Genomic DNA, 25,891 nt, shown 5'->3' with positions numbered 1-25,891 from the left:
GTAGAGTTCATAGGAGTCCCTTAATAGAAGGTCAAGAAATACTTGAGGTGTGGTCCAGAAATCACTCAGGGGTTGTGGCATTATTGTTCACTGAGCAAATGTTTATTGGGCGTATATCGAGTGCCACTCACTTGGATGACAGTGGACAAAGCAGATACTTGCTCTTAAAGAGTATGTAGTTGTGGTGGAAGAGACAGGTATTAACCCATTAATTATAAGATATGGTGAGTGTTAACCGAGGGGGAAGGTATAAGGAATAAATAGCAAGTGTATTTAACCTCACTTGGGGCTCAAGCAAGACTTACCTGAGAAGGTAACATTTCAGCCCACAGGTGAATGGTGAAAGCAGATAGTGTTACAGGAGGTAGTAACAGCGTTTCAGGCAGAGGAAATTGTATCCACAAAAGTTCAAAGTCCAGAGAATCTGGAAGAAGTCTGGTGTGGTGTATTAGGGATACACAAAACTTTTTCAAGGGACAGAAAACCTAATGCATCAGTGGTTTAAACATAAAAAGAAGCTGCTTCCTTATGAAAATGTCCAGGTAGGCAGTCCAAGATTGATGTGGCAGTGTTGTCATCATCAGGGACCTGGCTTCGTCCATCTTGTGCTGTCATCCTCCACGGACATCTTCCACTTAGTAATTCTGTTGACTCCTGCTGTCATTTTCCACATTCCAACAAGCAAGAAAGGGAAAAGGGAAGGAGAAGGAAGAAGCCATGCCCACTCTCTTACGGGCATAGCTTACATCCCACAGGCCAAAATTCAGTCACATGGCCGCAGTTACCTGCAGGACAGGCTGGGAAAGATTCTTTTTCCGTGGCCATATATTCAGCTAAAACTCAGGGCTTAATTATTGAGGAAGGGGAGAGAAAACATTGAGTTATATTTGGCAGTCTTTGATTCACATAGCTAGGTCATACAGTTCTGTGAGTGAGGCTTAGCCAAGGTTTAAAAACCTGATTGTGATAATCTCACAGTGGCCACCGTCTCTCATGATAATCTTGTGATGGCTGCTCTGTCTGTAAGAACTAGTAAGTTAGGACTAGCCAAAGAAGATAAGATTTAGCCATGCATTTGATTCTGTGCTTTAAGAATGTCTATCCTTAGACTTGAATAAGTATATACTTTTGTGCATACTTACACAGTTAATTCTGCGTTGTTAATCTACGTCTAAGCTTTTGAGAATATACTGCTGTATTTTACTGCAAGATGAAGGGCTTGTGAAGTAATGTCTTTATAGTAGCAACTAAAATGACAAGTTGTTTCCGTCATTCGTTTTTATAAGAGCTAACATGGTAAAACAGATAGCCACGGGTGCGCATGGTTTATTATAATGCTGAGAGTTTCCAAGTGTTACATGTTTCTTCTTTGGCTTCCCAACTTACGCTGCCATTGGTGTCCACGCAGCTGTCTTGCTTTCACATTCCTGTGACCTCAGTTATTTGAGGAGGTGTTATAAAGAAGTTCTTGGAGTTGGACCATGGACCAAAGTCTGAAACATTATCATTTTATAGTACAACACACCTTTTCTCATGGTAGGTGTGGTCCAGGGAGAAGGTGCGCATGGTTTATTATAATGCTGAGAGTTTCCAAGTGTTACATGTTTCTTCTTTGGCTTCCTAACTTAGCTGCCATTGGTGTCCACGCAGCTGTCTTGCTTTCACATTCCTGTGACCTCAGTTACTTGAGGAGGTGTTATAAAGAAGTTCTTGGAGTTGGACCATGGACCAAAGTCTGAAACATTATCATTTTATAGTACAACACACCTTTTCTCATGGTAGGTGTGGTCCAGGGAGAAGGGACTCTCTCAGTTTGCTCACAAGGAGCAATATTTAATTAACTGCCATGTAGAGGGGAAATAGAATTAAAATTAAGTTCTTATTTCACATCAGAGGTTATAGATTAGATATTTATGCTCTTAGAGTATGATTCTAGAAAATCTTCTAGGGCAGAAAAACGTGCTGAGTACAGGATAACAGATGGCCCTAAAGTGAAATTTCATATGAATAGGTTGTGTTTTATTAATTTGCCACATAGTTTTGGTGCCTACTTTGTGAAATTCGTGGGGTGGTAAGCTCTAAGGGAAGGGCCTTTTTGATTCATCTCTGTTCATCGTCTTAGCACAGTCCTGGGTGGTTGCCAGTGCCCAGGTGCTTTGGGAGACTGTAGAAGTTGTAGTCCACACACACTCAAACCTCATATTTTATATTCAGTCTGTAACCTTTTAATATTTCTTGACATTGAAGGAAACGGTTAAATATGATTTTTGTGAAAACTTTAAAAGGTTCTTAGTCACTTTCGGGTTTACAGGAAGTTTGTAGAAAAGCCCTGTGCTCGTCTTCATATTATTATGTGAAAAGTATTAATCAACTAATTTAGAATGGCTTTGAGCCCAGGAACTGTGCCGTAGGAATCTGCAGATGTGATTATCTGCCCTTTTAAGACTATTGACTGTAAGAGCTGTGTGTGTGCACCATAAAGCAACAGCAGGCTGCCAGCTTTTCTTGCCTTCAGCCGGGAGCCCTCAGCTCTCCACTACCCAAGGGACCAAATATGTATTTGTCTGAATCGGTTGAAGCCCACACATCAGCCTAACTCTCTCAGCTAATTTACCTTTCCCCCACCTGCACTAGCCCTGTGCTAGCTAGTGGGATGCCTGCTTTGTTCCTAACTCCCTTACCTAATTTATCTTCCCCCTACCCCCGCATGAGCCCTGTGCTGGCTAGTGGGACACCTCCTTTGTCCTGTGTATGGACCTTGCTATCAGTTCTTGAAGATTCCCCACCTTGGCACTGTCACCTGGTCAGCACCACATCTTCTGTGGCATGATTCAGATAGTGTCTCCATAATGGTGTTTTCAGCCCTACAGCTGAGGCTCCTGTTACCTGTTCTGTACAGATCCTTTGGCACTTAGAGCATACTGTCTGGCCTTGCTGTGCAACTAGGCTGTGAGGCCGCCAGCCACCTGCCTGCACTACCATTGTACACAGGAGGTCTTTGGTAAGGGATGGCTGGCTGTGGATGGTGATGAGGCAGTACAGGAAAGATCCTTGGTGAGTGGAGATTATTATTATTATTATTTTGAGACAGAGTCTCTGTTGCCCAGGCTGGAGTGCAGTGGCACAATCTTGGCTCACTGCAAGCTCCGCCTCCCAGGTTCACACCATTCTCCTGCCTCAGCCTCCTGAGTAGCTGGGACTACAGGCGCCTGCCACCACGCCCGGCTAATTTTTTGTGTTTTTTAGTAAGAGACGGGGTTTCACCGTGTTAGCCAGGATGGTCTCGATCTCCTGACCTTGTGATCCGCCCACCTCGGCCTCCCAAAGTGCTGGGATTACAGGCATGAGCCATCGCACCTGGCCGAGTGGAGATTATTTTTGCTTACTTTGGCTTTGTGTGTTTTGCTATGGGGGAGTTAATGGTATTGGTTTCTTTGGAGAAATTCATGACCTAGGAGAGCTATGGAGGAAGGGCCACAGCTCTTTTGTCTCTCCCTGATTTCCAAAATACCACCTCACCATGGTACTGCCTTGCTTTAGAAACTTCAGTGGCTCCCCATTGCCTTCAGAATCACATCTGAATGGTGGAGCAGCCTTTACACTCTTATACCTTCTACCCTTGTCTCCCAGTGCTCTTTAAGCAGCCACTTTATGGTCCCGTTTCCCATGTATGTGGGAATTTTGTCCTTTGCTCTCCTTCTCCTCCTGTCTGCTCCCTGCTCCATCCTAAGCCCACTCCAGTTTCAGGGACCACAGAGAAGCAGTTACCAGCAGCATGGAGTTTGAGAAAGGCTTCATCACAACAAGGCTTGAGAGGCTGGAAGAATTCGCCTGGCAAAGGAAGGAAGGGATTTGCCGTATGAAAGGCACAGCATATGCAGATATACTGGAGTGAGAGGGCATGGCACGTTTTGGGAATGATCCTTTAGCACCTAGCCTACAGTCTGAACCAGCTGGGACCTTGGTACTCATTGCCTGCAAGCTGCCCCCTCTCTGCCCCCGAAAAGGGACCCCTTTCATAGCAACCTGGACGGGTGTGTAATTAGCCTGTAATGGCATCAGCGGGTTTGCCGTGTTATGAGTCTGCTCATTCTGCTGTTCTTCAGACTGAGCTTGGGAACTGGGCCTCGAGCCAGCCTGCTTGTGAGCAAGTTCTAGTTCCACCATTCTCAAGCCAGCTGACTTTGGTCAACCTACTTGACCACAGTGTCTCAGTCGCCTCACCCATAAAACCAGCTCACCTGCTCAGTGCTCAATAAGTGTTGTAATTGGCAGTGTTACTGTTTTCTATGGTTGTAGTTCAAGATGTTTATTCTAGCCTCTGTAATGTCTTTGTTTTTTTTTTTTTGAGACGGAGTCTCACTCTGTCGCCCAGGCTGGAATGCAGTGGCACAATACCGGCTCACTGCAACCTCCACCTCCCAGTTTTAAGCGATTCTCCTGCCTCAGCCTCCCGATTAGCTGGGATTACAGGCACCTGCCCCCATGTCTGGCTAATTTCTGTATTTTTAGTAGAGACGGGGGTTTCACCATGTTAGCTGAGTGTGGTGAAGCGCGCCTGTAGTTCCAGCTACTCGGGAGGCTGAGGCAGGAGAATCGCTTGAACCTGGGCGACAGGTTGCAGTGAGCCGAGATCGCACCACTGCACTCCAGCCTGGCAACAGCGAGACACCGTCTCAAAAAAAAAAAAAAAAAGAGAAAATATCAGAGTACATTGTAACTGATGAGAAAAAGTATTGCATTGTTTCTTGGAACTTTGATACCAATTATGTGTATGCTAGGTCATGATGCAAAATGTATTTTACTGGATCAGCCAATAAAAGTTGAGAAGCACTTGTTCTGAGGTTTATTGACAAACTAGAGGGATCCCAAAGGTGACAATCAGGATGGGAATGAGACTGAGACCATAGCAAATGGAGAGCTGGTGGAAAGAATGGAGAAGGGTTTGGCAGGAACTCCGAGGACCTGATCGCTGTTATCAGTGATCTGCAGGTTGTCTCTGGGCAGAAGGAGTAGATGTGTTCTGAATGGCCCCAGGGATGGTAACTTTGGGGAGGCAGGTTTTCAGTTCACTAGAGGAAGAGAGTTACTGCTGTCAGAACTGTCCAGAGGAGATGAGCTGGGAAGCATCACTGATGTGTGTAACAGAAAGTGGCTGAGCGCTCTCAGAGACACTGGAGAATGGATTCAGGCTGTACAGAGGCACCTTTTTTTTTTTAAGATGGAGTCTTGCTCTGTTGCCCAGGCTGCAGTGCAGTGGTGATTTCAGCTCACTGCAACCTTTGCCTCCCAGGTTCAAGGAATTCTCCTGCCTCAGCCTCCTGAGTAGCTGGGACTACAGGTGCCCCTCACTACGCCAGGCTAATTTTTTTGTTTTTAGTAGAGATGGGGTTTCATCATGTTACCCAGGCTGGTCTTGAGCTCCTGGGCTCAAGCAATCCTACTGCCTTGGGCTCCCGAAGTGCTGGGATTACAGGCGTAAGCCAACGCATCTGGCACAAAGGCACATATTTTAAGAGATTTGTAGGTCCCACACATAAGAGAGCTTATGCAGATCTGGGGTGATCAGCGCCCTCCACCCTTAATAGTCTCCAGTGGCCCCATGGTGCCCTTACTGTAATATCTGAGCTCTTCATCCTGGGTCTGCCAGGCTCTTTTTATTCTGACCTCTAGCCCTGTCTTCATCACCTGCCCTGTTCCTTTCCAGCCACACCAGGCAGGTCATAGTTCTCACTATCTGCCATACAGTCTTTATGTATGCTGACAGTCTGTCTCCTCTACCTGAGATTGCCTCTCCCTCGCCATATACTTTCAAACTCCTAGTTACCCATTAAAGCACAGTTTAAGGGTTGTTTTTTTCTGGGCCATTTCCCCTAACGCCCCTCCCTGTCTCGGACTTCTCATCCCTGGAGTGTCTGTTGGCCCATGGTATAGTGGTTAATTGTGGCATCTGGAATCAGTCCAGGATTCAAATTCAAGCTCCATCGTGTACTAACCATATGCCTTAAAAAAAATAACCTCTCTGTTCGTCACCAGCAAAAAGGTAGTACCTACCTTTAGAGTTGTTGTGGAAAATATAAGTTGATCCATGTGAAGGGCTTAGAACTCTGCCTGGTGCTCACTAACATTGGCTGTTGTAAATAGTTTATACTCTTAGTTCTCGTATCGTAATTGTCACACCTATTACATTGCTGCTGTTGGTTTACAGATCTGTCTTCTAGGCTGTGAGGTTTTTGAAGGGAAAGGACTGTGTGCCCTATTCATCTTTGTATCCACAGAGCCAAACACAGGATCAGGTATTTATATAATAATTATATATTATATAAATATATATATATAAATATATATAAATATATATATATTTTTTCTTTTTGAGACAGGGTCTTCATCTACCACCCAGGCTAGAGTGCAGTAGTGTGATCACAGCTCACTGCAGCCTTGACCTCCTAGGTTCAAGCGGTCCTCCCACCTCAGCCTCCTGGGTAGCAAACCTGAACATTTCTTTTCTTAAGACAGTCAGTTTTTGAGTGTTAGGAAATTACATAATTATTTGGTGAAGCTGTTCACAAAGCTGTGGTAATTTTTTTCTTAGCCAAAATTATTTGTTTTTGTTTTATTCGAAAATCCCTTTTATCATATTCATTAACTATTGATGAATCAATAGAATCTATTAAAAATAGCAAAAATGGCCTGGCACAGTGGCTTATGCCGATAAATCCAGCAGTCTGGGAGGCCAAGGCAGGAGGATTGCTTGACCCCAGGAGTTTGAGACCAGTCTGGGTAACATAGTGAGACTTTGTTTCTACAAAAAAATAAAAAACTAGCTGAGCATGTCCCAGCCACTCAGGAGGCTGAGGTGGGAGGACCGCTTGAACCTAGGAGGTCAAGGCTGCAGTGAGCTGTGATCACGCTACTGCACTCTAGCCTGGGTGGTAGATGAAGACCCTGTCTCAAAAAGAAAAAAAAAAAAGATAGCAAAAATGTCAGTATTTTTATAGCCTTGGTTATATAGAATTTTTATTAGCAATACACAGCAGGAGTTGTGTGGGAAGTTGGAGGTGCAGGGAGTGCTTGATTTGTGGAAGTTTTGGTGGAAGTGGGACTTGAGTGCTACCTTGAGATTCAGAGGGAGTGAGTCTCACTTCTAGAGTTGATAGGAGTTCACCTGGACAAAAGGAGCGGAAAGCAGCTTTTATAGATGGAGGAAAGTAATGGAGCTAAGAGGTTTTAAGCATTTGGTCTTCAGATGGTAAGGAACCCGAGGGGTTATCTGGTCAAAGGAAGGGGAAGGGAGTTGTGGTGAAGAACATGAACCCTGAAGCCTTGGATGCAAACACTAGCTGTGTGACCTCAGGCAAGGTACCTGACCTCTCTGTACAACTATAAGACGGGGAGGTTAATAGTACTGTTACTGTTATGAGGAATAAATGACATTATAGTATATAAAATGCTCTGCTCGGTGCCTGGCATTTAACGAGTGCCCAAATATTGATTCATAGTTTCCAAGTCTGTGTGTCGTTCCCAACTGAATGAATGATAGCTGTGCTAATCTCCTCAGACCTTGAGTCTTACAAATATCATTATTTTCTCAGTATGCTATAATGTGAACAATTTGGGAAGTAGCTATTATCTGGTAGTGTAGCGTTCCCACCGCAGGGCCTCAGGGAAGATGAGGCTCTGCTCTGTGCCACCTCCTTCTTCCCCCACCTGCTCCACTTTTTTTTTTGAGATGGAGTCTCGCTCTGTCGCCCAGGCTGGACTGCAGTGGCGTGATCTCAGCTCACTGCAAGCTCCACCTCCCAGGTTCATGCCATTCTCCTGCCTCAGTCTCCCGAGTAGCTGGGACTACAGGCGCCCGCCACCACACCCGGCTAATTTTTTGTATTTTTAGTAGAGACGGGGTTTCATCGTGTTAGCCAGGATGGTCTTGATCTCCTGACTTCGTGATCCACCCGCCTCGGCCTCCCAAAGTGCTGGGATTACAGGCGCCCGCCACCACACCCGGCTAATTTTTTGTATTTTTAGTAGAGATGGGGTTTCACCGTGTTAGCCAGGATGGTCTCGATCTCCCGACTTTGTGATCCACCCACTTTGGCCTCCCAAAGTGCTGGGATTACAGGCGCCTGCCACCAAGCCCGGCTAATTTTTTGTATTTTTAGTAGAGACGGGGTTTCACCGTGTTAGCCAGGATGGTCTTGATGCCCTGACCTCGTGAACCGCCCACCTTGACCTCCCAAAGTGCTGGGATTACAGGCGGAGGCAGGTGGATCACTTGAGGCCAGGAGTTTGAGACTAGCCTGGCCAACATGGTGAAACCCCAGCTCTAGGAAAAATACAAAAATTAGCCACGTATGGTGGCGCATGCCTTTAATCCCAGCTACTTCGGAGGCTGAGGCATGGGAATCACTTGAACTCTGGAGGCCGAGGTTGAAGTGAACCATGATTGCACCACTGCACTCCAGCCTGGTGTCTCAAAAAAAAAAAAAAAAAGAGAAAATTTAGGCTTTTATTTTTATCAGTTGTACATGCACACGGTATATAGCCGACAGGACTTGAACAAGAAACAATGCTTTCCTGCTGTCCTGTCCCAATGTCTCATTCCCCAAGAACAATTACTTTTCAACTCTAGCTGGTTCTTGAGTGTTTAACGCTGTATTACCAAGTAATATGTTTATGTTCTTTGTGATTGTTTTCAGTTTTAGGCTTTATCTATTTTATTTCCACCATCAGTGATGAGACTTGAGTTGTCTTTTACCTTCCCATCGTTGCCCATGCATGCACGTCCCCTGTCCTCCCGCTACAATTCTGTCCATTTTGTTTAGATCACCCTTTGACCTTTACCTTATTATGATTATGTAAGTTCTTTACATTGCTGTGCCATATAGTACCATGTTTTTGTTTTTCTTTTTTTTTGAGACAGGGTCTTGCTCTGTCACCCAGGCTGGAGTACAGTGGTGCAATCTTGGCTCACTGCACCTCGACCCCCTAGGCTCAAGTGATCCTCCCACCTCAGCCTCTCGACTAGCTGGGATTACAGGTGCATACCACCACGCCTGGCAAATTTTTGTATATTTTTGTAGAGAGGAGGTTTTGCCACATCGCTCACACTGGTCTTGAACTCCTGGACTCATGCAATCCACCCACCTTAGCCTCCCAAAGTGCTGGGATTACAGGCATGAGCCACTGCGTCTGGCCTTTTTTTTTCTTATACATCTTTTTATTTTCTTTGGAGTTAACAATTGAATACATACTTTAATTTTCCTAATTTTCAGTCTTTTATCATTAATTTAGTCCCAGATTCTCTGCCAGTTGTCTAAATCTCCTCTAACAGAAACGTTCAATATGTTTAAACACATTGGCATTCTATCAACTTCATCTTCTCAAGGAAGTATTTCCTGAATCCTTCTGATCTGCTTTAATCTAGATTTGTTATTCTCTAGGTCGGCTGTGCGGGTGTCATCTGAGAAGCTCCGTCATCCTGGGGATTCATTTTCTCCTGCTTGGATCCCATTCTTCTCCTGTCTTGGCATATTTCTTCGTTCTGGTGGCTGCATCCTCTAGTAGCTTTCTGAAAAAGGGAGGATTGAGTAGTTCATCTTTTGAGAACCTTGCATGTGTAAGAATGATTTTCTTCTGCTCTCTCACAGTTGATGGGATTTGGGCTGAGTAATGACTTCCGGGTTAGAAAAGGCACGCCCCAGAATGTGGCAGTCACTACTTTCATTGCCTTCTGGCTTCCATGTGACTGCTGATCGAGTCCCATTCGGATTCTTGACCTTTGACATAGAAACTGTTTCTTCTCCCTGGAAGTAGGACTTCCCTTTTTCCTCAGTCTTAAAAAATTTCACTGTGATGCACTTTTATCCTGTGTGCAGGGTAATCAGCCCCTGCAGTCACGGAACTCATGTCCTTCAGTTTGGGGAAATGATCTTGAATCGTAATGATAGTGATTTCCTCCCCTACGTTTTCTGCATTCCATCTTTCTTAAACTCTTGTTTGGATGTGGGACGTCTTGAACTGGTCCCCGGATTTCCCTTCACTTTTCTCTCCCGGTTTCCTTGAACTGGCCCGCTGACTTTCCTGGCTTTTCTCTCCCGGTTTCCTTAGTTTTGTCTGTTGGCTCTACTTCATGGGCACTTCGGTCTCTTCACCTTCCAACCTTTCCTTTGAGATTTTTGTTTTGTTGTGATATTTTCATTTTCAAGAGCTTTTTATTTTTATTTATTTATTTTTACTTTTGAGACAGAGTCTTACTCTGTCACCCAAGCTGGAGTGCAAGGGTGAGATCTCAGCTCACTGCAAGCTCCACCTCCTGGGTTCAAGCGATTCTCCTGCCTCAGCCTCCCTAGTAGCTGGGACTACAGGTACCCACCACCACGCCCGGCTAATTTTTGTATTTTTAGTAGAGATGTGGTTTCGCATGTTGGCCAGGCTAGTTTCAAACTCCTGACCTCAGGTGATCTGCCTGCCTCAGCTTCCCAAAGTGCTGGGATTATAGGCATGAGCCACCGTGCCCAACCTCATATTTTTATTTTTTAACTTTTTAGGTTCTGGGGTACATGTGCAGTTTTGTTATAGAGGTAAACTCATCTCATGGGGGTTGGTTGTACACATTACAACTAAGCCCAGCACCCAATAGTTATTTTTTCTGGTCCTCTCCCTCCTCTCACCCTCCCACCTTAGGTAGGCCCCAGGGTCCGTTGTTTCTTCTTTGTGTTCTCGAGTTCTCATCATTTAGCTCCCACTTGTAAGTGAGAACATGCAGTATTTGGTTTTCTGTTCCTGCCTTAGTTTGCTAAGGATAGTGGCCTCCAGCTCCATCCATGTTCCCACAAAAGACATGATCTTGTTCTTTTTATGGCTGCATAGTATTCCATGGTGTATATGTACCATATTTTCTTTTTTATTCTTTTCTTTTTCTCCACCTCCTGGGTTCAAGTGATTCTCCTGCCTCAGCCTCCCGAGTAGCTGGGACTATAGGTGCCTACCACCACACCTGGCTCATTTTTGTATTTTTAGTAGAGATGGGGTTTCACCATATTGGACAGGCTGGTCTGGAACTCCTGACCTTGTGATCCATCCGCCTCGGCCTCCCAAAGTGCTGGGATTACAGGTGTCAGCCACCGTGCCCAGCCCTCTTTTTTTTCTTTTTACCTTATTTATGTTGAAGGACTACACATTTTCTTCATCCAGTCTGTCATTGATGGGCATTTAGGTTGATTGCGTGTCTTTGCTATGGTGAATAGTGCTGCAGTGAACATTTGTGTGTATGTGTCTTTATGGTGGAATGATATTTCTTCCTCTGGGTATATACCCAGTAATGGGATTGCTGGGTCAAATGGTAGTTCTGTTTTTAGCTTTTTGAGGAATCGCCACATTGCTTTCCACAGTGATCGAACTAATTTATACTCCCTTCAAGAGCTTTTAAACATTTTCTCAATATCCTGTTTTTAGTTAATAGTTATCCTGTTCTTTCATGATTGCAATATCTGTTTATTATAAGAGAATGGTGGTTGCACAACTCTGAGTATTCTAAGACCTACTGAATTATACACTTTAAAAGGAGGAACTTTATAGTGTGTGAATTACATACCTTAGTAAAGTTGGTATTAAAAATGTTTTTTGGGCCGGGTGCGGTGGCTCACACCTGTAATCCCAGCACTTTGGGAGGCCGAGGTGGGCAGATCACAAGGTCAAGAGATCAAGACCATCCTGGCCAACATGGTGAAACCCCATCTCTACTAAAAACGCAAAAATTAGCTGGGCGTGGTGGCGCATGCTTGTAATCCCAGCTACTCGGGAGGCTGAGGAAGAATAGCTTGAACTCGGGAGGCGGAGGTTGCAGTAAGCCGAGATCCCACCACTGCACTCCAGTCTGGGCGACAGAGCAAGACTCCGTCTCAAAAAAAAAAAAAAAAAAAAATGATTTTGGCCAGGCGCAGTAGCTCACGCCTTTAATCCCAGCACTTTGGGAGGCCGAGGCAGGCAGATCACTTGAAGCCAGCAGTTCAGGACCAGCCTGGCCAACATGGTGAAACTCCATCTCAACCAAAAAGTGCAAAAAATTAGCCAGGTGTGGTGGTGCATGCCTGTGGTCCCAGCTACTCGGGAGGCTGAGGCAGGAGAATCACTTGAACCTGGGAGGCAGAGGTTGCAGTGAGCCTAGATCACGCAACTGCACTCCAGCTGGGGTGACAGAACTAAACTCTGTGTCAAATTTAAAAAAAAAAAAACAACTTTAGAAAAATATTTCTCTGAAGATATTAATCATCCTTTTGAAGTTCTATTTTCCCTGCATTGTCTGTCTTTTCTCCTAGTTGTCTTTTTTTTTTTTTTTTTTTTTTTTAAGACAGTCTGGCTCTGTCACCCAGGCTGGAGTGCGGTGGCGCCATCTCAGCTCACTGCAACCTCTGCCTCCTGGCTTCAAGCGATTCTTGTGCTGCAGCCTCCTGAGTAGCTGGGATTACATGCACGCGCCACCACACCCAGCTAATTTTTTTGTATTTTTAGTAGAGACGGGGTTTCACCATGTTGGGCAGGCTGGTCTCAAATTCCTGGCCTCAAGTGATCTGCTGGCCTCAGCCTCCCGAAGTGCTGGGATTGCAGACGTGAGCCACCGCATCTGGCCTCTCCTAGTTGCTTTTTCTGAGTTTTATGTTAAGGCTTTACTCAAATGTCCCGGTGGCCTGGGCTGTCCACTCATTAAGGAATGGGGGACTAAAAAGCTGGTTGCTCTTTGTGTCTGGCTTGTCAACTGGTGGACTCACAGCGAGATGAACTGGCTGGCCCTTTCGTTGGGAGATCCCCAGTGTTGGCGGCTATAGGTGCGTTCCCTGAGTTTACCAGGTTCCCCAGAGAATACTTTTCCAGTCATTTGCCTGAAGGGTATGAGGCTATGGGGCTAGCTGCCAGCATTCTGGGAAACCTGGGGGAAGATTGAGTCTTACACATTGAGCAAGTAAACATCAGTGTCCCTATTCTCAGTGTGGTATTCTCACTTTCAGTTGTGCCTGGTATTTTCTAGTCCACACGCCATACTGCTCTCGAGAGAATACACCCCCAGATTTCTGCCAAGATTGGGAAGGGGGATCTGGCTTTTTTTTTAATAGGAAAGTTTTAAACATAAGAAAGTAGAAATAAGAGTAGAATTAGCTAGTTTCAACAATTACCAGCTTAAGGCCAATTTAATTTGTTCTAAACCGCCCCCTGCTTTTTCCTTCCCCTATCCATATTATTTTGAAGTGAATCTTGACATCATATCATTTCATCCATAAATATTTCATTATGTATCTCTACAAAATAACACTTTAAAAAACACATGCAACACTGCTGTCGCCCTTTTCTCCTCAAAGCAAAACACAAAGTCCAGTTTCTCCTTAAGATCATTTAGAGCTGGGCATCGTAACTTGCCTATAATCTCAACTCTTTGGGAGGCCGAGGTGGGAAAATCTCTTGAAGGCAGAAGTTTGAGACCAGCCTAGGCAGCAAAGTGTGAGACCCCCTCTCTACAGAAAAATTAAAGGATCAGCCAGGTGTGAAACGCCTGTAGTCCCAGCTACTTGGGAGGCTGAGGCAGGAGCATCTCTTGAGCCCAGGAGTTTGAGGTTACAGTGAGCTGATCGCACTACTGCACTCCAACCTTGGTGACAGAGCAAGATTGTTTTCTCAAAAAAAAAAAAAAAATCCAGTCAGTTCTGCTTTTTGTTTTGTTTTGTGTTTGTTGTTGAGACAGACTCTCGCTCTAGCACCCAGGCTGGAGTGCAGTGTTATAATTTTGGCTCACTGCAACCTCCACCTCCTGGGTTCAAGTGATTCTCGTGCCTCAGCCTCTGGAGTAGCTGGAATTACAGGTGTGTGCCATGATGCCCAGCTAATGTTTTGTAGTTTTAGTAGATACGGAGTTTTGCTGGCTTGGCCAGGCTGGTCTTGAACTCCTGGCCTGAAGTGATCCACCCTTTTGGGAGGCACTTTGGCCTCCCAAGGTGCTGGAATTATAGACATGAGCCAGCACACCTGGCCCAGTTCTGCTTTTTAAAATAGGCTTTTTACCACTTACATCCACTTTCCACAGCACCTGTTATTACCAGCCCCTAAGTCTTTTTGGGCCTGCAGCATGGGACAGCTTCCTTCTCAGCCTTGCCTACCCAGATTAGAATTCCACCTTCTTGGATCAACCAACCAGGTACTACTTATCCATCTGTTTCCAAGCTTCCAAAATTTTGTAGCTGTTGCATCTTGTATTCTTTGTCTGTGTGCTTAAAACACACACACCCCAGATCTCTTGATAATATTGTCTTAGTGGGTTTTGGGAGGGAACAGAGGTAAATGCGTTTGTTTAGTATGACTTTTTTGAACTATGAGTACTCCCGATGACTGGTTGTCCAGACGCTGCTCTGAAGCCTTGAGGGATAGGGTGTAGGCATTTTTTCCCAGAGCCTCCTAACTCTTTTTTTTTTTTTTTTTTTTGAGACGGAGTCTTGCTCTCTGTCACCCAGGCTGGAGTGCAGTGTGTGATCTCAGCGCACTGCAGCCTCTGCCTCCTGGGTTCAAGCAATTCTCTGCCTCAGCCTCCCAAGTAGCTGGGATTACAGGTGCCTGCCACCATGCCTGGCTAATTTTTTGTATTTTTAGTAGAGACGGGGTTTCACCATCTTTGCCAGGCTGGTCTTGAACTCCTGACCTCATGATTCACCCACCTCGGCCTCCCAAAGTGCTGGGATTACAGGTGTGAACCACCGCGCCCGGCCTCCTAACCCATCTTTATGCCCATGACAACAGACAGGTCCACTTTTATCATGAGCATTTCCCTCTGTCTTCTATCCAATGACATTAATTTTAACTGCTGCTTCCCTCCTTCCCATTATAGCTCATCAGGACTGTGTGACTCCCAGGCCTCTTTTCTCTGCACTTAAGATTCCCCCAACAGGGCACAGTTTCTAGTCTTCTTTCTGTCATGGTTTCTGTCCTCTGATCTCTTCCATTCATTTCTTTTTGGTGTGTAGCTTCAAAACCAAACTCACCTTTCTTGATTGGGTCTAGTCAGAGTAGAAAAAGATAATACCTGCTCTCCTTTTGAATGTTATACCTTGATTAGTGAAGTCTTTGATCCTATTAACTTTTTGGATAATCTTGCCAGGTTGAACAGAGGCAAAAAGAATGCTGTGATCTTTTCCATGCTGCTTCTAAGCTGACTGTCCCCATTACTGCATTTATGCCCATGGTTTTTGGACTCAAATACAGGAATTTGCATTTGTTCCTCTTAAACACTGCATTGTTCAGAGGTCTATGATGGAAATAGGGGTATTTATGTTAGTCATGAAACCTCAGTAGGTTGTTTTCCTATTTCATGGAGGAGAGAAATAAGAACAAGGGGCAGGAGTTTTAAGAAAGAGAGAGGGTTACTTGGAAAGGAGGCTTAAAGACTCCTGAAGTATTGCATGGTGAGAGCGATGTGTGAGTGAGTGTATCAGCAGGAGGGCAGAAGGCATTGTTGAGGAAGGGTTTGAAATCTGGGGAGAGAGGGCAGTTGCTAAGTGAGGTAAGTCTTGTAGGATGTAAGGGAAGGGGGTCAGGGACACCAGAGGGTGAGGTTAGAAAGGAGAAGGGGAACACTACAGGGCCGATGTGCTTTTCACTGTACTGGGCTCTGTTCAAATGTTACTTAATCCAGGCAGCAGCCTGTGAGGTTGACAATATTCGCTGCATCTTTCAGATCAAGAAGCTGTGGCTTATGGAGGTAAAGAAACTTAGGTAAGGTCACATAGCAGAGTAGTGATAGAGCAGATTTAAACCAAATCTCTACTGTCCCAGGTTCCCCAGATGGCCCAACATGGGCAAGAGACAAGCTAGATTACAATTAAAGGTTAGTGAAAACAGGGCTGTGAAACAGATAAACCAAGTTAGCTCTTGTGTCCAAAGAGTGTTGAAAAAGCCCAGGCAGACGCGGTGGCCCACACCTGTAATCCCAGCACTTTGGGAGGCTGAGGTGGGCGGATCACCTGAGGTCAGGAGTTTGAGACCAGCCTGGCCAACATGGAGAAACCCCATCTCTACTGAAAATACAAAAAAAAAAAAAAAAAAAATCAGCTTGGCGTTGTGGCAGGCGCCTGTAGTCCCAGCTACTCAGGAGGCTGAGGCAGGAGAATCACTTGAACCCGGGAGGCGGAGGTTGCACTGACCTGAGGTCGCACCACTGCACTCCGGCCTGGGCGACAAGAAAGAAACTGTGTCTCAAAAAGGGAAAAGAAAAAGCCCAGCTAAAGTCGAGGTGCTATTCTAAGCCAATTCTTTATATTCTGGCACTTTGCAACCAGTTGAAAAACTTTACAGTGGCTGCTTCCTTCTGAAATTATTTAGTGGGGAGGAGACTTACTACATAATTACTCTCTTGGATTACTTAATGGTTACTCTCTTGGAATATAGATTGGAATACAAATAAGATGTGTACTTGCATACATACATCCTACAAAGCGCAGTGAGTTCCTGTTCTAAATTTATCTTTGGTTGATACATATGGACTCTTCTCTCTGCAACCAAAAATAAATAAATCACCGGTCTCGAGAATTTTAAATAAAAGAAACTTGAAACTGCCCTCGTTTACTTGAAACAGCCCTGATTTTCTTGCATCTCTTATCTTGTAGGCCTTTGCCCAGTTTGATGCTGAGGGTGATGGGACAGTTGATGCCGAGAACATGTTGGAGGCCCTCAAGAATTCCAGTGGAGCTAATCTTCAGGGGGAGCTGAGCCACATCATCAGACAACTACAGGCCTGCTCTCTGGTTCCAGGTGAGGCTTCCATCTAGGTGCTGTCTTAGAACCAAAGTGAACTTTGCTATACTACTGATTGAAATTAGGCAAAATTGTGGCCACATGCAGTAAACTCCCCCAACAGTGTTCATTAGGCTCCCGATCTGAATTAGCATTTCCTTTAGTCATCTCTTTCATCCCCAGTACGGTGGTGGCTAAGCAGTTCTACCGTTTTATAACATGAACCCTTGTCACGTGGCCGCTTTCCTTATTGGATCTCTTCATTTCACTACAGAAGCCCTCCTTGGCCTTCACTGTTCATTCTCTTAGCATCCTGCATTCTTTTTTGCAACATATTACCATTGTAATTGATCAATTCATTATTCAATTATTAGTAAAGTGTTTGTCTTCACTCATGTACTATAGTTCCACGAGGGCAGGGACCTTCTGTCTTATTTCTGCTCTGTCCTCACATTTGCGTCATTTTTTTTGGCATGTGGTAAGCACTTAGTGGTTTTTTAAGAAAGCTATTACAGTATTCCCTCCTTACCCATGCGGGAGATGTTCCAGCACCCCCAGTGGGTGCCTGAAACCAAGGATAGTACCCAACCCTATATATACTATATATTTTTCTGATATATATATATATATATATATATATATATATATATATATATGGTTATGATAAATTCTAATGTATAAATTAGGCATAATAAGAAGAGGTCAGGCCGGGCGCGGTGGCTTACGCCTGTAATCCCAGCACTTTGGGAGGCCGAGGCGGGCGGATCACGAGGTCAGGAGATCGAGATCATTCTGGCTAACACAGTGAAACCCCGTCTCTACTGAAAATACAAAAAAATTATCCGGGCATGGTGGCGGGTGCCCGTAGTCCCAGCTACTCGGGAGGCTGAGGCAGGAGAATGGCGTTAACCTGGGAGGCGGAGCTTGCAGTGAGCCGAGATCGCACCACTGCTCTCCAGCCAGGGCAACAAAGCGAGACTCCATCTCCAAAAAAAAAAAAAAGGAAGAGGTCAATAACAATAGCTGACAATAAAATAGAATGATTATAACAATATAGTAAAATAAAAATTAGGTGAATGTGGCTCCTCTTTCTTTCTCTTTCTGTCTCACAGTATCTGTACCATACTCACCTATTTTGGCGTCTTTATTGACCACAGGTAACTGAAATTGTGGATAAGGGAGGACTACTATATTCAGAAATTTAAGTAAGAATAAAAATAGCTTAAAATTAAGCAATGCCGGCGGGGCACAGTGGCTCACGCCTGTAATCCCAGCACTTGGGGAGGCCGAGGTAGGCGGAGTTCCCGACCTGAGGTCGGGAGTTCAAAACCAGCCTGACCAACATGGAGAAACTCCGTCTCTACTAAAAATACAAAAATTAGCTGGGCATGTTGGTGCATGCCTGTAATCCCAGCTATTCGGGAGGCTAAGGCAGGAGAATCACTTGAACCCTGGGAGGTGGTGGTTGCAGTGAGCTGAGATCGCACCATTGCACTCCAGCCTGGGCAACAAGAGCGAAACTCCGTCTGGAAAAAAAAAAAAAGAAAAGACATGGCCTGTGTTTTTGTATTTTTTTGGGGGGGAGCTCAGACTTACACGTAAAGACAGAATCATAATAAAATTAACATTTGTTTTTTCTAGTGAGAAGACAATTGTGTTTGAAAGAGAAAGAAACTTTGTACATTTTCCTTTCGGTCTTGGTTTACTTTACCTCAGCGTTTTTCCTGCTCTGTGCACTTGGTGTCATAATACTTAGGGTCACTAGGGCAGCAATGGAGGCAAAATAGATTTGATAGACACATAAATGTAAATCTGATTGCTCTTGACCCTCTAGCTTACTCACTGCTGAGTGACGTATTGAGCTAGGGAAGGATAGTTTCCATACATTAATGAAGAATGTATATTTCCAGCCAGACATGGTGGCTCATGCCTGTAATCTCAGCACTTTGGGAAGCCGAAGTGGAAGGATTGCTTGAGGCCACGAGTTGAGACCAGCCAGGGCAGCATAGTGAGACCCCATCTCTTACGAAAAAAATTAGCAGGTCATGGTTGTGTGCACCATTGGTCCCAGCTACTCGGGATACTGAGGCAGGAGGATTGCTTGAGACCAGGAGGTTGAGGCTGCAGTGAGCCGTGATCACGCCACTGTACTCCATCCCTGTGATAGAGCGAGACCCTGTCTCAAAAAAAAAAAAAATGTGTATCTCCATTCTCCTTCAGGTTGTCTTTAATTATGTAATGTTATACATGTTAACTTTTTCCCTAGTCTCATGGCAATTAAAATTATTATTATTTTTCTTTTGAGACAGAGTCTTGCTCTGTCACCCAGGCTGGAGTGCAGTGGGATCTCCATTCACTGCAGCCTCCACCTCCTGGGTTCAAGTGATTGTTGTGCCTCAGCCTCCCGAGTAGCTGGGAGCACAGGCAACTGCCACCACGTCCGGCTAATTTTTATGTTTTTAGTAGAGATGGGGTTTCACCATATTGGCCAGAGGCTGGTCTTGAACTCCTGACCTCAAGTGATCCACCTGTCTTGGCCTCCCAAAGTGTTGGGATTACAGGCGTGAGCCACTGCACCCGGCCTGAATTATCTTTAGCTAGCTTTTATCTTAGCGTTTACATACTACTCCACTTTTGCATTACCAGCATGTGGATAGCATCAGGAGCTTTATTTGGACACCTCAGACAGTTTTGGGGAGGAAAGCAGAGGGATTGAGACCAGGGAATCCACCAACAGATAATTCGTAGTGTACTGTTGTGCTGGGCAACTGCTGAAATGGGGGATGAGATTGAGAAAGCATCAGGGTCCAAATCTCAAGGCACTTACATAGCAGGCTCATGACTTAGGACTTCCTACTCAAAACTTTTCATCAGCACCCAATTCATCAGTCTTGGAATGAACCTTTGTAAGCTGAAGTTGCTTTGGTGGTGGGAATTTTTAGTTTCTAACCTTCGTCTGCACTAAAACTAGTTCCTTTTGTATCTCATGGTGTTGGTGCTTAAGCGTTTAAGAAAAGAGAACAGTACCTTTTCCAAATTCATTAGGCTTGGAATTCATTTACTGAAGGCTAAATTAATTTACCAAATGTTTCAGCATATGAAAACACTTTTTCCATCATAGGAACAAGTTTTTGTTTTGTTTTTAACATAGATACAACGTTTTGCCATGTTGCCCAGTCTGGTCTTGAACTCCTGAGCTCGGGCATTCCACCTACCTTGGCCTCCTGAAATGTGGGGATTACAGGCATGAGCCACTGTGCCAAATCTGTTTTCTCACATAGGTTTTGAGCAAAACAGTGCAGCATCAGCAGTATCCTAAATATGAAGCTCAGGTATTACTGTGGAGTCAGCTAAGAAAAAGACTGAGCCACTCCTGGCTTCTTTCTTCCCCAGCTTTCAGACGGCCTGTCATGGGACTTTGCCTTGTGATTGTGTGAGCCAATTCTCCTTAATAAACTCCCTTTTATATATACATATATCCTATTATTTCTGTCCCTCTGGAGAACACTGACTCATACAGATTTTGATACCAGAAGGGGTTCTAAAGGAACATTTTTTTTTTTTTTCTGAGACGGAATCTTGCTCTGTCACCCATGGTGGAGTGCAGTGGCGCAGTCTCGGCTCGCTGCAACTTCTGCCTCCCGGATTCAAGCAATTCTCCTGCCTCAGCCTCCCGAGTAGCTGGAATTACAGGCACCCGCCACCGCGCCCAGATAATTTTTGTATTTTTAGTGGAGATGGGGTTTCATCATGTTGGCCAGGCTGCTCTTGGAACTCCTGACCTCGTGATCTGCCCGCCTTGGCCTCCCAAAAGTGCTGGGATTACAGGCATGAGCTACTGCGCCTGGTCTTTGAGGAACAGAATTTTAAGGATGGATTCCTTTAGTTGGTTTTGTAGTTTTGGGAGTTGGCTGTTTAATTTGATTAGACCCAAAAATGCTAAGGAGTCTACCTCTAATAGTATGGAGAATGCTGTTAGTCCTTGGTGTGAACTGTTAAGAGAGTTGTGCAGAATAAATGCACTTGATATTCCCGATTCACCTCTCTTGAGAATCAAGGAGTTTAGTGACTCTATACATGATACCTTTGGCCATATATGGAGAACCAAGGACTATAATGAAGTTGGTTGGTGCTCCTAAGTTTGCTGGACAAAGTGATGAAAGAAGAGGATGAGCTCAGGGATTCTGTCTCCAGAAATGCTTACTTAGCCTCACATCTTCCAAGATTGCCCTGGGTGAGAGTCTTACCTCCTTTAGACAAAGGGCTGAAATTGTGGAAAATCAGACACAAGCTCATGTCATGTGAGTGGCTGACCTCCAATGAAAGGTGCATGCTCAGTCTCAGCAGGTGTCTACTTTTAAAATGAGGGCATTGATTGGGAAAGAACGGGACGCAGTGGATAACTGGAATAGACATACTTAGCATCTGGCAGAATCCCCATGTTGGCTTCCTGACCAGTAGGGTGAGAGCTGTTCCGGTGGGAAAGGCCAAATGGAAGCCATCAGAGCTGGCTCTACCTAGAAAAATAGTAAATCAGAAACAATATCGCACTCCTGGAGGGATTGCAGACATTGGTGCCACCATCAAGAACTTGAAAGATGCAAAGGTGGTGATTCCCACCATGTTCCCATTCAACTCTCATATTTGGCCGGTGCAGAAGACGGATGAATATTGGAGGATGTCAGTGGATTATCGTAAGCTTAACCAAGTGGTGACTCCGATTGTAGCTGCTGTACCAGATGTGGTTTCATTGCTTGAGCAAATTAACACATCTCCTGATACTTGGTATGCAGCCATTGATTTGGCAAATGCCCTTTTCTCCATTCCTGTCCATAAGGCCCACCAGAAGCAATTTGCCTTCAGCTGACAAGGCCAGCAATATACCCTCACTGTCTTACCTCAGGTACATCAACTCTTCAGCTTCACGTCATAATATTGTTTGCAGAGATCTTGATCACTTTCCCTTCCACAAGATATCACACTGGTACATGACACTGATGACATTGTGCAGATTGGACTCAGTGAGTGAGAAGTAGCAAACACACTGGACTTATTGGTGAGACGTTTGTGTGCCAGGGGGTGGGAAATAAGTCTGAAATAAATTCAGGTACCTTCTACCTCAGTGAAATTTTTAGGGGTTCAGTGATGTGGGGCTGTGAAGATATTCTTTCTAAGATAAAGGATAAGTTGCTGTATTTCGCCCCTCCTACAACCAAGAAAGAGGTACATCACCTAGTGGACCAACTTGGATTTTGGAGGCAGTGCATTCCTCATTTGGGTGTGTTGCTCTGGCCCATTTATCCAGTGACCCGAAAGGCTGCCAGTTTTGAGAGGGGTCCAGGACAGAAGGTAGCTCTGAAACAGGTCCAGGCTGCTGTGCAAGCTGCTCTGCCGCTTGGGTCATATGACTCAGCAGATCTGATGGTGCTTGAGGTGTCAGTGGCAGACAGGGATGCTGTTTGGAGCCTTTGGCAGACCCCCATAGGTGAATCACAGCAGAGGCCTTTAAGATTTTGGAGCAAGGCCCTACTATCTTTTGCAGATAACTACTCTTCTTTTGAGAGACAGCTCCGGGCCTTGGTAGAAACTGAACATTGGACTATGGGTCAGCAATTTACCGTGTGACCTGAACTGCCTGTCATGAACTGGGTGCTTTCTGACCCATCCAGCCTAAAGTTGGGTGTGCACAGCAGCATTCCATCATCGAATGAAAGTGGTATATATGTGATTGGGCTTGAGCAGGTCCTGAAGGCACAAGTAAATTACATGAGGAAGTGACTCAAATGCCCATGGTTCCCACCCGTCACCCTGCCTTCTCTCTCCCAGCCTGTACCGATGGCCTCATGGGGGGTTCCCTATTACCAGTTGACATCTTGGTGTGTCACCTGAGCCTCATTTTCCTCAGTTGTTAAAAAGGATAGCTGTACCTTCTGTGCCTCCCCTCACCTTACTGTGAGGATGGAATGATATGATGTATGTGGAAGCACCTTATTGGTTGTAAAATGCCGTTGGAAACTGTGGTAATGGCAGTGGTTGTATTGTCATTATCATTGTCTTAGTATCTTAGTATAAAAGCAGTTATGATTTTACTCTTAATGCACTGAACTTTATTTCTACCCTGTATTCTATACGCAAGACTTCCTTAAAAACGTCTATTAGTGTTTAAGTGCTTATACATTTTTGAAGATTGGATTGAAACAAAAAATCGTTATTCTAAGTCTTCTAAAATATTTTTCAACTAAAATTAAATTAATTCTTTTTTTTTTTTTTTTTTTTGAGGTGGAGTTTCACTGTTGTTGCCCAGGCTGGAGTGCAGTGGCGTGATCTGGGCTCACTGCAACCTCCGCCCCCTGAGTTCAAGCGATTCTCCTGTCTCAGCCTCCCAAGTAGCTGGGATTACAGGCGCCTGCCACCACCCCCAGCTAACTTTTTTGTATTTTTAGTAGAGATGGGGTTTCACCATGTTGGCCAGGCTGATATCGAACTCTTGACCTCAGGTCATCCGTCCGCCTCGGCCTCCCAAAGTGCTGGGATTACAGGCGTGAGCCACTGCACCCAGCTAAATTAATTCTTAAGTTCAGAATGCTACTGGTTCATTTCTTTAAAACTTAGATTTTTTAACAATTAAAACTGAAAATATCAATGAAGATTGTTAATGACTGCTTTTAATTTAGCCAATTCAGATAGGCCACCAGGCAGGGGATGTGGAAACTACTGTGGCTTCCCCAAAACACCAAAAATGGATTTCATCTGTTTAGGTTTCACAGACATATTTTCAGAGTCGAAGGAGGGCCTTGATATTCACTCGTCAATGATACTGCGCTTCCTGCACCGCAATCGGCTCTCCAGCGCGGTGATGCCCTACCCGATGCTGGAGCACTGCAATAACATGTGCACCATGCGGTCTTCCGTCCTGAAGGAGTCTCTGGATCAGCTGGTACAAAAGGAAAAGGGTATGTGTGTGTGGGGGTTCTCCTGAAAATACTCTGATCATTTCTTCTAACTGTTGTGTTGGTAAAATGAGCCAATTCTTTTCCCTGCCTTCATTTCTGAAAATACAGAGTCATGAGTTTGTAACGTAAGAATGTGATCTTTCTCCTCATTCCCTTTCTTCTTAACACAGCTGGTTTCTCATCATTCAATTCTCTGCTCAGATGTGACTTTGAGGGATGCCTTTCCGCTTTATCTAATTAACACCTCCCCTACCCCACCTTCTGGTCAGGGTCACCTTTGCAGGTTTAATGGTGGAAATCGCGCTTATTGTTATCTGAAGTTGTAGCATTATTGATTCACTTGTGTGTTGTCTGTCTTGTCTGCTTCCTCATTCCTGCACTGTGCCTGTTGCATGGTAGGTATTCAATGAGTATTTGCTGGATAAATGAAGGAAGCCACCACAGACTCACTTGGAGATGGCAACAGAAGTTCATGATGTGTATAAATAGGTCTGTGGAACATAACAGAGCCCAGGCATAGACGCCGATATACATGTGAGAACATAGTACCAGATAAAGTCAGTGTTATAAATCAGGATGGAAAGGTGAACTTCCAACAGATGGAGTTAGGGCACCTAGTTAGCCATTTGAAGAAAAAATAAAACTTAGATGTTTTTTTGGAGACTGAGTTTCGTTCTTGTTGCCCAGGCTGAAGTGCAATGGCGTGATCTCTGCAGCCTCCACCTCCTGGGTTCGAGCGATTCTCCTACCTCAGCCTCCTGAGTAGCTGGGATTACAGGCATGTGCCACCACGCCCGGCTAATTTCTGTATTTTTAGTAGAGACAGGTTTCACCGTGTTGGTCAGACTGGTCTTAAACTCCTGACCTCAGATGATCCACCCACCTTGGCTTCCCAAATTGCTGGGATTACAGGTGTGAGCCACCACCCAGCTGAAACTAGATTCTTAATACATTCCATTCACTAAAATAAATTTCAGATGATCAAAAAGTTCAACTAAAAATAAAATGCTAAAAATATTGGAAGAAAATAGTTCCACCTTGTAAAATACGGAACAGCCTTTCTAAGCAAGGCATGAAACCCAGAATCTATGAAAGAAAAGATTAATAAATTAGTCTGTATGAAAATTAACCTTGCTCACAGCAAAAAAAAATATAAGCAGAGTCAAAAACAAGTGACATTGTGGGTACAAAAATAAATTTTATAACATATTACAGATACAATTGACTAAATTTTTTAGTAACTCTGCCCTTGGGCAATTATTTAACTCTGTGTTCCTTAGTTTATTTATTTTATTTTATTTATTTATTTGCGACGGAGTCTTACTCTGTCTCCCAGGCTGGTGTGCAGTGGTGTGATCCCGGCTCACCGAAACCTTCACCTCCCAGGTTTAAGCAATTCTTGTGCTTTAGCCTCCTGAGTAACTGGGATTACAGGCACGTGCCACCGTGCCTGGCTGGTTTTTGTATTTTTAGTAGAGATGGGGTTTCACCATGTTGGCCAGGCTGGTCTCGACCTCCTGACCTCAAGTGATCCGCCTGCCTTGGCCTCCTAAAGTGCTGGGATTACAGGTGTGAGCCACTGAGTCTGGCCAGTTTCTTAATTTTTAAAATGAATTAATACATAAGGAAAGTATAAAAAGCACATGGCCAGGCACGGTGGTTGATGCCTATAATCCCAGTACTTTGGGAGGCCAAAGTGGGAAGATCGCTTGAAGCCAGGAGTTTGACACCAGCCTGGGCAACACAGGGATGACCCCATCTCTCCAAAAAATTTTTAAAAAAATTAGCCAGGCGTGGTGGTGCACACCTGTAGTCCCGGCTACTTGGGAGAATGAGGCAGGAGGATCACTTGAGCCTAGGAGATCGAGGCTGCGGTGAGCTGTGATCACACCACTGCACTCCAGCCTGGGAACAGAGTGAGACCCTCTCAAAAAAATCTCAACAAAAAAAAGCACGTGGGTTATAGTAAACACTCAAGTAAATGTTAGCTATTCTATGTATGTTTATATATACATTTGATCATGTATAGAAAATGTATGAATTAACTCAGAAGAACATGGAAGAGGGCAGGACCAGACTGTACTCAGAAGCCAGCAGCTTAAAAAGTGTCACTCATTATTTAAAAAATGTAAATTCAAACCGTAATTTACCATTTTCTTCTCGGCATGGTT

The 25,891-nt window shown here is 44.6% G+C and overlaps 1 protein-coding gene across 8 annotated transcripts in view, besides 2 other annotated features; it reads left to right on the top strand.

Moving 5' to 3' along the window:
• The window catches only part of ZZEF1 (zinc finger ZZ-type and EF-hand domain containing 1), a 138,586-nt gene that overhangs the window by 2,339 nt on the left and 110,356 nt on the right, over positions 1-25,891 (top strand). For all 8 annotated transcript variants that reach the window (XR_007065288.1, NM_015113.4, XM_005256561.3 and 5 more), the window contains exons 2-3: positions 16,641-16,785; positions 23,526-23,720. Coding sequence is in view for 7 of the 8 variants with exons in the window: in NM_015113.4 (NP_055928.3) it covers positions 16,641-16,785; positions 23,526-23,720 (340 nt within the window). In the remaining variant the exon portion in view is untranslated. The remainder of the gene's footprint in view (positions 1-16,640; positions 16,786-23,525; positions 23,721-25,891) is intronic.
• Positions 13,575-13,624: an enhancer, noted in NCBI's record as "active region_11534". NCBI's record gives its function as "activates an Ori minimal core promoter by ATAC-STARR-seq in GM12878 lymphoblastoid cells {active_cell/tissue: GM12878}" and the evidence as "EXISTENCE:reporter gene assay evidence [ECO:0000049][PMID:35858748]".
• Positions 14,025-14,114: an enhancer, noted in NCBI's record as "active region_11533". NCBI's record gives its function as "activates an Ori minimal core promoter by ATAC-STARR-seq in GM12878 lymphoblastoid cells {active_cell/tissue: GM12878}" and the evidence as "EXISTENCE:reporter gene assay evidence [ECO:0000049][PMID:35858748]".

Source organism: Homo sapiens, chromosome 17 (genome assembly GCF_000001405.40).
Source record: "Homo sapiens chromosome 17, GRCh38.p14 Primary Assembly".
Classification (NCBI taxonomy): domain Eukaryota; kingdom Metazoa; phylum Chordata; class Mammalia; order Primates; family Hominidae; genus Homo; species Homo sapiens.
This window is presented reverse-complemented; position numbering and strand designations above follow the sequence as displayed.